Below are 14,000 nucleotides of genomic sequence, written 5' to 3' on the forward strand. Positions count from 1 at the left end.
CAATTTTATTCCACCCAGTCATGGCATACCTCTTGTGAATATTTAGGTTTGCTTTTGATTTGTGATGCCTCGCTAGGAGCATCTGTCCTCGCCACTTGTGGGCACCCTCCCCCTTTATTTTGTAATATATATTACTTAGGATTGGGGCTGAAGGACATCTGTAAGCAGCATGTTTCTGTTCATATACAACAACTTTACTGGAACTGCAATCTGATTTGCAATAAAACTTACTTTCTGGTATTTACTGACTTCTTTAGTCTGAACACCAATTCTAGTAATTAGGCTGAAACCATGACATGATTGATTTAGAGAGGCTGGTGTTAGCTGCTTACATCAGCGCATTCTAGGGACTTTCCATGAAATAATTTTACTGCAAACTGCCATCACCTTATAGTAGGTGAAAAACAATGTCCATAGAAGCCCTCTGACGTACTTCCAACTTTGATTATTCATGGTAATGAAGGCTAGGCAGACAGCCCTGCAATTCCCAGTGGAACATCAAGTTAAATGCTGATGGCCTAGGAATCATGGCAGCCCCTTGGTCAGTATGCCCAGGGGCCAGTTTGGCATTCATTAGTGGTACTTTCTGCACTTTTCCTTGGATGGGAGTTTAGCATACCACCTACTCAACAACCCGTCTATCTCTATTGACCTCAAATGATGCTGGGACTCCAAAGATCACCCCAAGAAGCACCTGGAGTTCCAGCTCTTAGATAAGCAACGTAGCTTATCTTCTCTGTGGAGACATACTAGCAGCCCTGGCATTCTATCATGGGGGTAGCCTGTCTTCATCCCCTTCCTACAGCCTTTCTCTGAGTGTAAGTAAGGCAGAGCCACTGGTAAAGAAGGCTCCACCGGAGTTGAGGGAGCAGCTGGCCAGGTGTAGAACGTGCTGTGTGAGGTGGGGGCTCAAAGGAGAAGGGACCCAGCAGGCAGAGGAGGCAGGTGTTCCATTCCAAAGGGGCCAGGCTGCTGGCTGTGTCCCTGTGGGGACTCCGGTGTGGAGAAAGTACTTTCTCTTGCTCTCACTTCTTATTTTGTAGTGCAACAAAACAATATCATAGTCCAGGACATGGCGCTAGCCACTTATTTAAGAATTCTTATTTTGTTTTTTTGTTTTTTGTAAAGTCACTAAGAAGGGATTATGTCCCAGAGTGGGTTGGATGTTGAAAATAACTCAGTAGCTTCGGCAAAGAGATTGAATCTGGGAGTAAATAACATGCTAAGAGATGGTCTTAGATTTCCAAGAAAAATTGGGAAAACCCTTCTTCAAGTAAAAGCTGATGGGAAACATTCTATTAATTAGTGTAAATGAACAATGTAGTTTGGATCACTTGTAATATATCAGCAATGCCATATACATTTAATAACACATATAAAACAGGCATGTTTTATAGTTATTATTTGATCCTAAAATGGTCCTGTTGGGTACTATTGACCAGGTAAAGCAAAACATGAACATCAAAGAAGTTGTATGACTTGTCCATGAAAAAAAATTTCATGTAGCTAAGGAGAATGGTGAGGAAAGGCAATGCTATATGATGGAAAGTGCTCAGGTTAAGGATAAGAAGATCTGCTTTCTAATTCAAATGGACTAACTGATTTTCCAACAGTAAACAAGAAAATCACTTACTTGCTCAAGAAATTCCTCACTCCGAATGTGATGGAGTTTGAGAGGATTAGTTGTTATCATCGTTAACTTCTCTTTTGATTCTCCGTCTCCCCATCATTGGAGAGTTCTTTAAAATATTAAGTCTCAGACTCCAGATTTCACTGGAGTACTAATTAATTAATTAATATTAATCTGTGTACTGGGACTTCAACCATTGCCATTTGTTTGTTTGCTTGCTGGTTTGTTTGTTTCTCAGCTGTCTATGTGGTTCTATGCTGCAGCCAGCATTGAGAGCCCTTGAATTAGATTATTTCTGAGGTGACATCTAGCTTTTACATTCTAAATTAATTTATTTTCCAAGCCCCCTATTTAGGGCCAGGTGTTTTGAAGTCCATTTGCGTCTCGTTGCTTTACCTATCACAATGTGAAAACTTGATGAGAAGCTAAATGGAGTTGTTTACTCACAAGAGCAAAGATGGGATAGAAATATGTGCATCATAATCTTGCCCCTCCCACGCTGTTTCCTTTGATATCCCAAAGGCCCATGGAAATGTTAGTCTAATGGAAAGAAAGAACTCAGTTGTATAAGAAGAAAACAGTAAATTTTCATTGAAACATAATTTCGATTTAAGGAAATGATAAAAGAGAAGAAACAACTATTCTTTTTCAGTTCTAATTATCAAAAAATTGCTGGCAAGAATAACCATCTTTTAAAAAAAGAAATACTACAACTTAAAATAGTTCATCTTGTCAAAAAAAGAAATGATACTAATTCTCATATCCTTGGTATCCACAAGGTACTGGTTCCAGGACCCTCTGCAGATACCCAAATCTGCAAATGCTCAAGGCCCTTATATAAAATAGCATAGTAAATGCATATAACCTACACGTATCCTCCTGCATACTTTAAATCATCTCTAGATTACTTATAATACCTAATACAATGGAAATGCTATGTCAATAGTTGTCATACTATATTGTTTAAATCTGTATAATTTTTTATTGTACTGTTACTATGTATATTGTTGTGGGTTTTTTAAAAATATTTTTCATCAATGGTTGGCTGAACCTACAGATGCAGAACCCATAGATATGGAGCGCTGACTGTACTTGTTTTTTCAATAAGAAACAAATAGTAATTTTAAGCTATATAAATTTGATTTACAATTGATTGAAGATCCTAAAGGCCCAGGAAATATTTCACTTTTGTACTTTTCCTCGGCACACTAATATTAACTATCTGGCATTATTTGTTAGATATGATCTAGCCAGTGTTTGGAATAATGAAATCTACATTGCATTTTGACTTAATGTCTATTTTAATTCTGATACAGGTGTAGCCATCCCTGTTTTCATTTATTATTTGCATAGAACATCTTTTTACTTTCAGCCTACATGTGTCCTTAAATCTAAAACAAGTCTCTTGTAGACATATAGTTCAGTCTTGTTTTTATTTTTTTATTCATTCAGCAACTCTATCTCTTTTGATTTGGGTGGTTAATACATTGACATTTAAAGTAATTATTGATAGGAGGGACTTACTATTGTCATTTTGTTAGTTATTTTCTGTTGATCTTGCAGTTCTTTTGTTCTTCTTTTCCTCTCCTGCTATCTTACTTTGTGCTTTACTGATTTTTTTAAAATAATAATGTGTTTTGATTTCTTTCTCTTTCTTCCCTGTAGCTTCTTTTTTGGAGACAGGGTCTTGCTCTGTCACCCAGGCTGGAGTGCAGTGATGCAATCATAGCTCACAACAGCCTCAAACTCCTGGGCTAAAGTGATCTTCTTGCCTCAGCCTCCCAAGTATCTGGGACTATAGGGGTACACAACCATGCCTGGCTAATTTTTTAAAAAAAATTATTTTGTAGAAATGAGCTCTCACTATATTGCCTCAGGCTAATCTCACACTCGTGGTCTCAAATCATCCTCTGCCTTGGGCTCACAAAGTGCTGGGATTAGAGGCATGAGCCATCTCTCCCAGCCTTCCTGTTATCTTCTATAGGTATTTTCTTTGTGGTTACCATGAGGCTAGATAGAACATCTTATAGTTGTACCAGTCTATTTTTAACTGATAACAACTTAACTACTGTCACACAAAAAAATTCTACTTTTACTTCTCCAACCACTCACACTTTATGTTATTTATGTCACAATTTACATCTTTTATGTTGTGTATACATTGAAAAAATTTGGTAGTTTTTCTTTTATAGTTATTCTTAATACTTTTGTCTTTTAACATTTATACTACAGGTGATTTATATACCACCTGTACAGTATTATAATATTCTGTATTTATCTATGTATTTACTTGTACCAGTGGGTTTTATACTTTCATATGCTCTTGTGATACTGCTTAGCATCATTTTGTTGCAATTTAAAGAATTCCCTTTAGTATTTCTTGAGATGCGAGTTTAGTGGAGATAAACTTCAGCTTTTGTTTGTCTGGGAAAGTCTTTCCCTCTCCTTCATTTCTGAAATACAGTTTGCTGGTTATAGTATTCTTGGTTGATGTTTTGTCATTTTTTTCCCAGCATTATTTTCTTTATTATTATCCTCTCTTCTGGCCTGCAAGCCTTCATCTGAGAAGTTCACTGATGGTCTGATAGAGGATCTCTTGCATGGGACAAATCACTTTTCTCTTGCTGCTTTGAAAATTCCTTGTCTTTGATGTTTGGCAATTTGATAATAATGTATTTTGGTGTAGATTTAATCCTATTTGGGTCTTTTAGACTTAATGAAACTGCAGTTCCATATATCTCCCAAGATTTGGGAAGTTTTCAAGATTATTTCTTTAAATAAACTTTCTACCCCTTTCTCGCTCTCCTTCTAAAATTTACATAGTACATAAACTAGTTTGCTAGAAGGTGTCTCATAGGTCCTTAGATTTTCTTTACTATTTTTCCTTTTTGTTTCTCTAACTAGATAATTTCAAATGACCCATATTTTTAAATTACTTCTTCTGTTTAATCAAGTCTACAATTTAATTTGCTGAATTTTTCAGTTTAGATATTAGGTATTGTATTCTTCAGCTCTAGAATTTCTATTTGGTTCTTTTTTATGGTTTTATTTCTTTGTTGATAGTCTCATTTTGTTCATGTATAATTTTCCTGATTTTATTTAGTTGTCTGTGCTGTCCTGTAACACACTGAGCTTCTTTAAGATGATTAATTTGAATTCTTTGTCAGGCAATTCATATATCTCTATTTCTTTATGGTCAGTTGTTACACATTTATTTTGTTCCTTGATTGTGTCATATTTTGCTAATTTTTGGTGCTTTTTGTAGTTTTTGTTGATGCCTGCACATTTGAAGAAATAGCCACCTCCTCTAATCTTTAAAGACTGGCTTCAGTAGGAAAAGATCTTCACCAGTAAACCTGGTTAGAGATTCTAGGAGCCTCCCAAACCTTCTCTATAGATGTGCATTGCATTCTCTACTTCTCTCTCTTCCTCCTGAGGGATAAATTGTAGTGTTGTGCACCTTCTCTCAATTGCAAGGAGCGATGCTGGCCATGGTAAGCTGCCAACCCCTTTTCCCTAGGGCAGTGCAATAAAAGACCAGGGCATTGGATGCATGCTTCACTCTTCTCCCTCATCTTCTGGGAGAGAAATGTTAGGATTGTATGCCTTCTCCCAGTCTTGCAGAACCATGCTGGCTGCAGTAAGCTGTCTACCCCATGTTTTTTGTTCTTAGCTGTCCCCAGGTGTTAAAACTATGCTGTGGTTTCTTTAGCACTCTGAGTGAGGTAGAACAGAAACAGGTCTCTCAGCACCCCAAAAGACTGAGAATGTTGGGTGCATACTCCTTTCTTTCCCTCCAAGAGAGGAGTCATGGGCTGAAGCAATCTTTCTTGACACTGAACTGTGCCTGAGGAAGGAAGTGATGTGAGTAAAGTGAAATTGCTCTTTTGCCTAGTTCAATGTGGTATTTTGGTTTTATGTGAATCTGAGTGACTGCAACTTCTTAAGTGAATTTTGAACTTCTCATAAAGATATTTGGGTTCATATATCACTGTTAAATTGGTGTTTCTGTGGCAGGATGAGGGCTAACAATTCCTATTCTGCCATCTTGTTGACAGCACTCCAAACCTACATTGTATTTTAAAGTTAGCATATAATTTGCTAGTCAGAAGGCAGCTCTTTTTGTACTGTATGTTTAACATATAGTAATGACACAGATACTAGTAAGTGTGTTTTAAGCAGGAAACAATAAATCAGTGTTTCTTACATTTATTTTTGGAACACTTCTTCCAAGAGGAGAGGAAATGATTCTCTGTCTAAATAATTGTGGAAAACACTTGAATAAAGTTATGCAGGTTACTTTACAGCAAGTTTATTCAGCCCGTAATATACTAATAGGCCTTGGATATCTCCAAAGGTGAGTATGCAGTGCAGCATTCTCCAAAGTCATCTCATCCCAGAACCATTTTTATGTGGAGCATCCTATGAACTAGGCATTTTTAGAACAACCTTGGAAAACAATAGACTAGAGAGAGAAAGATGTACCAGTTCTATCATTTATATTGAATTTTGCTATTGTAAAGCATTTATGTTGAATTTTCTTGTTGACTTTTTGCATAAGATAATGAAGATGACAGCAGAATAAATCATTCTTTCTCTACTTCTAGTATATTGAATGTCTTCTAGAAAAACTCTCAGTAGTGATAACCTTAAATACCTGTTTGACAACAAAGATATCATGAAGGTAAAACAAAGCAAGAAGAAAAAAGAGCACAGTTTCAGAAAGAATAATGGATGCATTAAAGTAAGTCATTTGCTGAGGGGCAGATAAGTCAGTGGTATGTTACAGTCAGAAATAATGTACCATGAGAGGACTGAAAGGACACTCAAACACTTGCTTAATTTGGGTAATGATGATTATTTATTCGAAGAATGCTCTATGTCTACATTAACTATAAAACTGTTTTTAGTTATGAAAAATATATTCACAAAACTAAATTGAAACTCAATTTTGTTTTGATAACATTACCAGTTTAATTAACACATTCACAAATGATGAAATTATGGGCAGCATATTTTAAATTAAGATTGCTAACCTAAATTTCAAGAAATAGAGACAATTTATGCTTGTTCAGAATTCAGAAAAAGCATTTAAAACTAGATTATGTTACTGCATGAAACTTTTTCCCCACTCATGGTGAACAGAGTTCTTCCCTAGGGTTGGGAATAACAAGGATGAATGAAATCTTCCGATAATTCAAAAGCTTAATTTTAGTTCACAGTTCCAATTTCCTTCTCTAGTAAATCATATCAATACTGGTAAAAACTAGAAAACATGACTAATTTTAGTTTAGTTATTTTTCCAACTCCTGCTCACACATTAATTTAATGAGCAATGAGAGTTCATAAAGCATAGCACAGGAGAGAGAAGAGGAGAAAAAAAGAACATCAGGAAAAAAATAGTCTACTGGCTGGGTAATCACTTCTTAAATTAATGAAGAAAGCACTGGCAAAATTGGAATTCAAAACAATGCTGACAGAGTGAAAAGCCTCTTTTAATGGTATTGTTAAGATACCTACTGAAAGAGTGACCACTTTTTATTTACAGACCCAGGCTGTTTGGAAAACGTGCATATGCACACTACTTAAAGTAAGGGAAGCAACCAGTGTACATGTTGTTAGTAATGACATTCTGTGGTAGGATTTTTGGACTATTCCTTATCTTAAACAAAAGGGATTAAAGGATTCCAGAAGAGCAGTCTGGACCCATATTGCCAAGCACCAAGTAAGTCTACAGCAATTGCCACTGAATGGATGAAAGAATGACAAAATGAAGAAATGGCAGAAAGAGGGGATGCTGCCTTTGATATTAGTTCTTATTTTATGCCCTAGTTGTTCATTTGTGCCTAATTTCTTTTTAATTTTGTGAACTGCCTAATATGTTATTTCCCCTAGGCCTAGTATCTTTTCCCCTGTCCCCTATTTTGCCTTGCTCTTGCCCCCTACTGATGGACTTCCCTGATGCCAACTGCCTTCCCAAATTTCCAAGTTTTGCTTACTCTTGGATCCTCTTTTATACTGTGTCTTCTCTCATCTCCCTGACTACCATATGTAGGGCCAATGAAATCTGTAGCTACTGATTTCCTGCACACTCATCTGTTTTCTTGTCCACTTCCTTCCTGTTGGGTCTGGCTCCACGGTCTATCTCCCTGTCTCCAGTTTATCTGCCCTACCACTATGGAGTTACCTGAGGGCGTACATGGTTGCCTCATGGTATCTCCATGGATGTGAACCTATTTAAACAACTAGATATTTTTAAGTAAATATTAATTGCATCAATACTATCAGTCCAAGTTTGTGGACATACTCATAATCCATGAAAAGACTCCTCACATATGGCCAGGCGAGGACTATAACTGTTGGGGGAGCTCTATGTGATTCCAAGTTCCCAGAGGTTCTAGCTTCAACTATCTGGTGTGAAGATTCTCACACACAGTCAGGCTCAGGAACCACAGGCTGTGTGTCATATTTTTTTACACTGAACTGGCTTCTGAACACCAGCTGTGATTCATCTGACTAAAGCAGCTTGGATAGATAGCAGTGCTGTGCTGTAGTTTCTGTTATTTCTTACTTCAGATATTCTCTTACATGTTAGACTTTTGGAAGATTTTTTAAAAGAATCCAACTTTTTTTTTTTTTTTTTTTTTTTGAGACGGAGTCTGACTCTGTCACCCAGGCTAGAGTACAGTGGTGCAATCTTGGCTCACTGCAACCTCTGCCTCCCAGGTTCAAGCAATTCTCTGCCCCAGCCTCCTGAGTAGCTGGGATTACAGGTGCATGCCACCACGCCCGGCTAATATTTTTGTATTTTTAGTAGAGACAAGGGTTTCACCATCTTGGCCAGGCTGGTCTTGAACTCCTGACCTCGTGATCCACCCGCCTTGGCTTCCCAAAGTGCTGAGATTACAGACATAAGCCACCATGCCCAGCCTAGAATCCAACTTTTTAATGTAGAATTGTAGAAAACAGCATGGAGATCCCTTTAAAAAATTAAAAATACAGTTACCATATGATCCATTCCACTTTTGTGTGTTTACCCAAGAGAATTAAAAGCAGGATCTCAAAGAGAGATTTTTACACCCATGTTCACAGTGACATTATTTACAATAGCCAAAAATGGAAGCAAGGCAAGTGTCCACTTATGGATAAATGGATAACTAAAACGTGATATGTGTGTGTGTGTGTGTGTGTGAGAGAGAGAGATGGAATATTACATATATAATATATATACAAAATATTCTCTCTATATAATCACTATTCAGCCTTTAAAAAGAAGGAAATCCTGACACATGTTATAATATTAATGAACCTTGAAGTCATTATGCTAAGTGAAATAAGCCAGCACAAAAAGACAAATACTGTATGATTTCACTTATATGTGGTGCTTATAATAGTCAGATTCATAGAATTTGATATTAGAATTATGGTTCCCAGGGGCTGGGAGGAAAGGGGAATGGGGAGTTATTGTTTAATGGGTATAGAGTTTCAGTTTTGCAGAATGAAAAAAGTTCTGAAGATGGATAGTAGTGATAATTACAGAACAATATGAATGTACTTAATACCACTGAACTTTACGTGTAAAGTTGGTTAAGATGGTCAGTTTTGGTCCTGAGAACGTGAGTCCACGCGTCTGGTTGCCCGTGAGTCCAGCCTTAGCCCACGCAGCTTTCAGTCATGGCCTCCGTAATCGCGCGCATGGCATAGCCCGCCCCTGACTTCAAGGCCACCGCCGTGGTGGATGGATAGCGCTTTCAAAGAAGTGAAGCTGTAGGACTACAAAGAGAAATACGTGGTCCTCTTTTTCTACCCTCTGCACTTCACTTTTGTGTGCCCCACGGAGATCATCGCGTTCAGCGACCATGCCGAGGACTTCCGCAAGCTGGGCTGCGAAGTGCTGGGCATCTCAGTGGACTCTCAGTTCACCCACCTGGCTTGGATCAACAACCCCCAGAGGGAGGGAGACTTGGGCCCCCTGAACATCCCCCTGCTTGCTGAGGTGGCCAGTGGCTTGTCTGAGGATTACGCCGTGCTGAAAACAGATGCGGGCATTGCCTACAGGGGCCGCTTTATCAGTGATGGCAAGGGTGTCCTTTCCAGATCACTGTTAATGATTTGCCTGTGGGACGCTCCGTGGATGAGGCTCTGCGGCTGGTCCAGGCCTTCCAGTACGCAGAAGAGCACGCGGAAGTTTGTCCCGCTGGCTGGAAGCCTGGCACTGACACGATTAAGCTCAACGTGGGTGACAGCAAGGAAAATTTATCCAAACACAATTAGGCTGGCTGACGGATAGTGAGCTTGTGCCCTTACCTAGGTGCCTGTGCTGGCTGCCCACCAGTGCCGCCACCTGGGTGCCCTGTGCTGACCCAGGAAAGGCCAGACCTGCCCCTCCAAAGTCCACAGTCTGGGACACTGGAAGGCTAGACCAAGGCCGTCTCATGCCTCCACCTGGGAACTAGTAAATAGTGATGCCCTCCTACAAGCCCACCCAGCCGCACACAGGCCTAGAGTTGACCAATAAAGTATAAGCGACAGAAAAAAAAAAAAGGTCGATATTCTGTTATGTATGTTTTAGTATAATTTTAAATATCTTTCTTGGTCTTTGGTTTCTAATTCCAAGATGCCATGATGCAATAGATACAGTGATACAGTTTGAAAAGTCAAAATGAACTTTTTTTCTTTTCCTTTTTTTTTTTTTTTTTTTTTGAGACAGAGTCTCACTCTGTTGTCCAGGCTGGAGCGCAGTGGCGGGATCTCAGCTCACTGCAAGCTCTGCCTCCCAGGTTCATGCCATTCTCCTGCCTCAGCCTCCCGAGTAGCTGGGACTACAGGCGCCCGCCACCACACCAGCTAATTTTTTGTATTTTTAGTAGAGACGGGGTTTCATCTTGTTAGCCAGGATGGTCTCGATCTCCTGACCTCGTGATCTGCCCGCCTCGGCCTCCCAAAGTGCTGGGATTACAGGCGTGAGCCACTGTGCTCGGCTCCAAAATGAACTTTCTAACCTAGAGTAAAACTATTGTTGTCAGACCTTGATCAAATAGTATAACATTCAATTAATATCACTGAACATCAATTATATTCAAGGCACTATGTTAGATACTGTTGGGAGGGACTGCAGGGTAGAAGACTGTATGGGACAGAATCTAAGGCATAGGAAAATTTTAAATCTACTTGAAAGGATAAAATATATACACTAATAACTACACTTTCACATGGTATATAAAAGAGGAATTACACATCATGGGAAAATACAGAAGGAAGAGTTTGGGACCTAAGTGATGGCTTCATGGAAGAGGTGACGTCTCATCTGAGTCTTAAAGGCTGGGGTGCCCATTGAGAGGCAGAGATTTTGGATGGCCATTCCAAATGGAAGAAGCAGTAAGTGGAAAAATATGGGCAGTATTCCAAGAACAGGGAACTGTCAGTTTAGGCTAGAGAATAAGAGAGACATAGTAGCCTTTTGGAGATAGGCAGGCAAGGTGGGTTGTATCTACTTTGACCTCATTTGAGGCAACAAGAAGCCTTAGTTAAAATAACCACAAAAAGCACTTTTAAATACATTTTTAACATGTAATCTGCAGTGGTTATCTTAGAAGAGATTTGTGCATGCAGGTGGGATATGAGCCAGGAAGCTATTACAAAGCTGTGTGAAACTCAACAACTACTTGGAATACAAAATCGACTATAGAAATAAAAGTAAGGGGAGAGGGGAAGATGTTGTAGGAGGCATTAGAGAGGATACGGAGTGGTGGAAGGAGCACTAGGTTGGGAGTCGAGGCAGGTTCTAATCTGATTTTTTTAGCCCCTTCTTTGTACAATCTTGGAAAGTCATTTGCCATTTCAGAGCTTCAGTTTTCTTAACTTTAACATTTGGAAGTTAGACAGGACAATTTCAGTGGCAACTTTTAGCACTAAAGTTCCAGGATTCCATATTGAACTGATGGTTTGGGAGAGTCATCCCAAGAGAAGTAGTGGTGAAAGCCTAAATCATCCAGGAGGAGAAAGTCAAAGAGAAGATATAAGCTATCATAAAAGACTCTTATCTCTCTTTTCTGGGTATGGCAAACAGGCTATATCTCATCACCATTGGGTTGATGAAGGGAATTGACAGATAAAAATATAAGAAGAAGACAAAGAGAACAGTCACGTGCATTAGGGAGTCCCACATGTGCCCCTCTCTAACACTCAGGCTACACTTTTTCTCCCACAGGAAGTTAATGAAGCTGAGTCCAACCTGACCAAATTTACTTGTGCCTCCCCAGAGAATCTGTCTGTCTCCTGCAATGGTCTGCACAGTTGTGCGACAACCTGGACTGGCCATAGGTTTGGCAGGACGGCAGCACCAGGGAGGGGAGCAGCTGAGCTTGTGAGGGCATGTGTCTGTTTTTATGGTCCTTTCCTCTTGGCCTGAATGACGGCACCATCATCACTCTGGCAGGCCTGGCAGCAGGTGCAGGACCATTGTTTGTGATTCCCAGCTCTGCAACAATAAAAGTAGGGCCAGGGAAATGGCAGCTGCTCAGTTGAGCAAGGCTGTGGTTTGTTTCTAGATGGCTTTGCAGCTGACATCAGACACAGATCATTATTGTTTATGAAGATGCATTCTCCTGTCATTTAGCATTCCACTGCTGAACAAAAAGATTAAAGGACCGAATGAACCCAGTATTTGGTTTGGTACTGTTCTTACCTTTAGTCTAGAACTTCAAGAAAGCACAGTCCAAAGCTGCCTAATTTGTTCTATGCACGGCTGCTTTTAAGCTCTGCTATTAATGAACTAGACTTAACAGCTGCTAAAGAGAATCCAAATGGCCCTCACATTCATTTCATCCCAATGGCAGTAACACCCTACCTTATAATAGTTTTTTCCCACTGTTATTATAGTATTAATATAGACCCTATTACATTTCTCAATTGAGAATTCGTATTTATTCCAGTTTATGAAAAAAAAAGTCATTCTTACCGGATCTCAATAAAAAGTTAGTTATTTCTGCTATTTTTTTTTTTTTTTTTTGAGATGGAATCTCCCTCTGTCACCCAGACTGAAGTGCAGTGGCTTGATCTTGGCTCAATGCAACCTTCGCCTCCTGGGTTCCAGCGATTCTCCTGCCTCAGCCTCCCAGAGTAACTGGGACTACAGGCACGTGCCACCACGCCCTGGTAATTTTTTTTTTTGTATTTTTAGTAGAGATGAGGTTTCACCATGTTGGTCAGGCTGGTCTTGAACTCTTGACCTCAGGTTACCAGCCCCCCTCAGCCTCCCAAAGTGCTGGGATTACAGGTGTGAGCCACCGTGTCCCGCCTTTCTGCTATTCTTAACATCCCTTTTGGAACATTAGTCTTAGGAAGCTGTGGATTTCACAGTCTGGGTTGAAAAGGATGTACTGTACCGTAAATTCCATATGAACAGAAAATCATTTTCTATTTTGTTTATTGATGCCTAGAATTGGATTTGATGCATAGTAGGTGCCCCATAATTATTTGTCAGGTGAATAAAAATGATGGCTCATGATAGTAGCCAGGCCTTCATTGCAATGATTGCAGGTCAGAAACCTGTTAACATCTGTTAACAACTCTTGGCTAAATATTCTAATTAGGACCTCTTGACTCACACAGAAGCAAAGTTCTCTATTAGCAACTATAGCTGTGGTCCAATAAAAGTATGTTTCAAAGGAAACACCCCCAGTAGATCTTAGGACTATTTGATGATAACAATTATGTAGAAAAACTAAGGGAAGCCCAGAGAGTTCATGATAACATTTCCATCTGGGACAATTTTGCTGGTGGCCTTGCAGACACAAGATAGAATGGGGCCTGGCATACTTGTGTATACTTTGTGTTCAATGATAACAATATTTATATATATTCATATATAAAATAACACCCAATGAGTTCTAATGACCATGTGTCCTAATGTTGGTTAGCCACTTACATTCTAAACAGAGCTATATATGAGATACAAGCTATAGATATGGTGATTCATTTTGTCAAAAAATAATTTTTATTGTATTGTTTTGATATTTCCTTAATTTAATATTAGTCTATTGATTTGTTTTATTTCCTCCCAGTACCCAGCAGTTCATATCCAGAAGGAATATTTTTATTCGTGCATCTTTAGCAACTGATTGAAAACAATTTTTCCAACTTCACTTTTGGGTGGATTAATATAGGATGTATATATCAATTTAAAGAACAGCTTAAACTTTACATTAAGTGGCATTTACACAACACAGAAAATATTGAAGTAGATAAAATGCCTTCAATGCCGTAGTTTTTAGTGGTGTATAGGGACACCTAAAATCTTTAGTGGAAGTACAGAGATCTCCAGAAAAGAGATAACTGATATGGGATAAATTAGCATACCAGTCTATGC

The 14,000-nt window shown here is 39.0% G+C and overlaps 1 pseudogene, besides 1 other annotated feature; it reads left to right on the forward strand.

Moving 5' to 3' along the window:
• Positions 211-260: an enhancer, noted in NCBI's record as "active region_24865". NCBI's record gives its function as "activates an Ori minimal core promoter by ATAC-STARR-seq in GM12878 lymphoblastoid cells {active_cell/tissue: GM12878}" and the evidence as "EXISTENCE:reporter gene assay evidence [ECO:0000049][PMID:35858748]".
• On the forward strand, positions 9,239-10,162 carry PRDX2P4 (peroxiredoxin 2 pseudogene 4; annotated as a pseudogene).

This window comes from Homo sapiens, chromosome 6 (genome assembly GCF_000001405.40).
Source record: "Homo sapiens chromosome 6, GRCh38.p14 Primary Assembly".
Classification (NCBI taxonomy): Eukaryota; Metazoa; Chordata; class Mammalia; order Primates; family Hominidae; genus Homo; species Homo sapiens.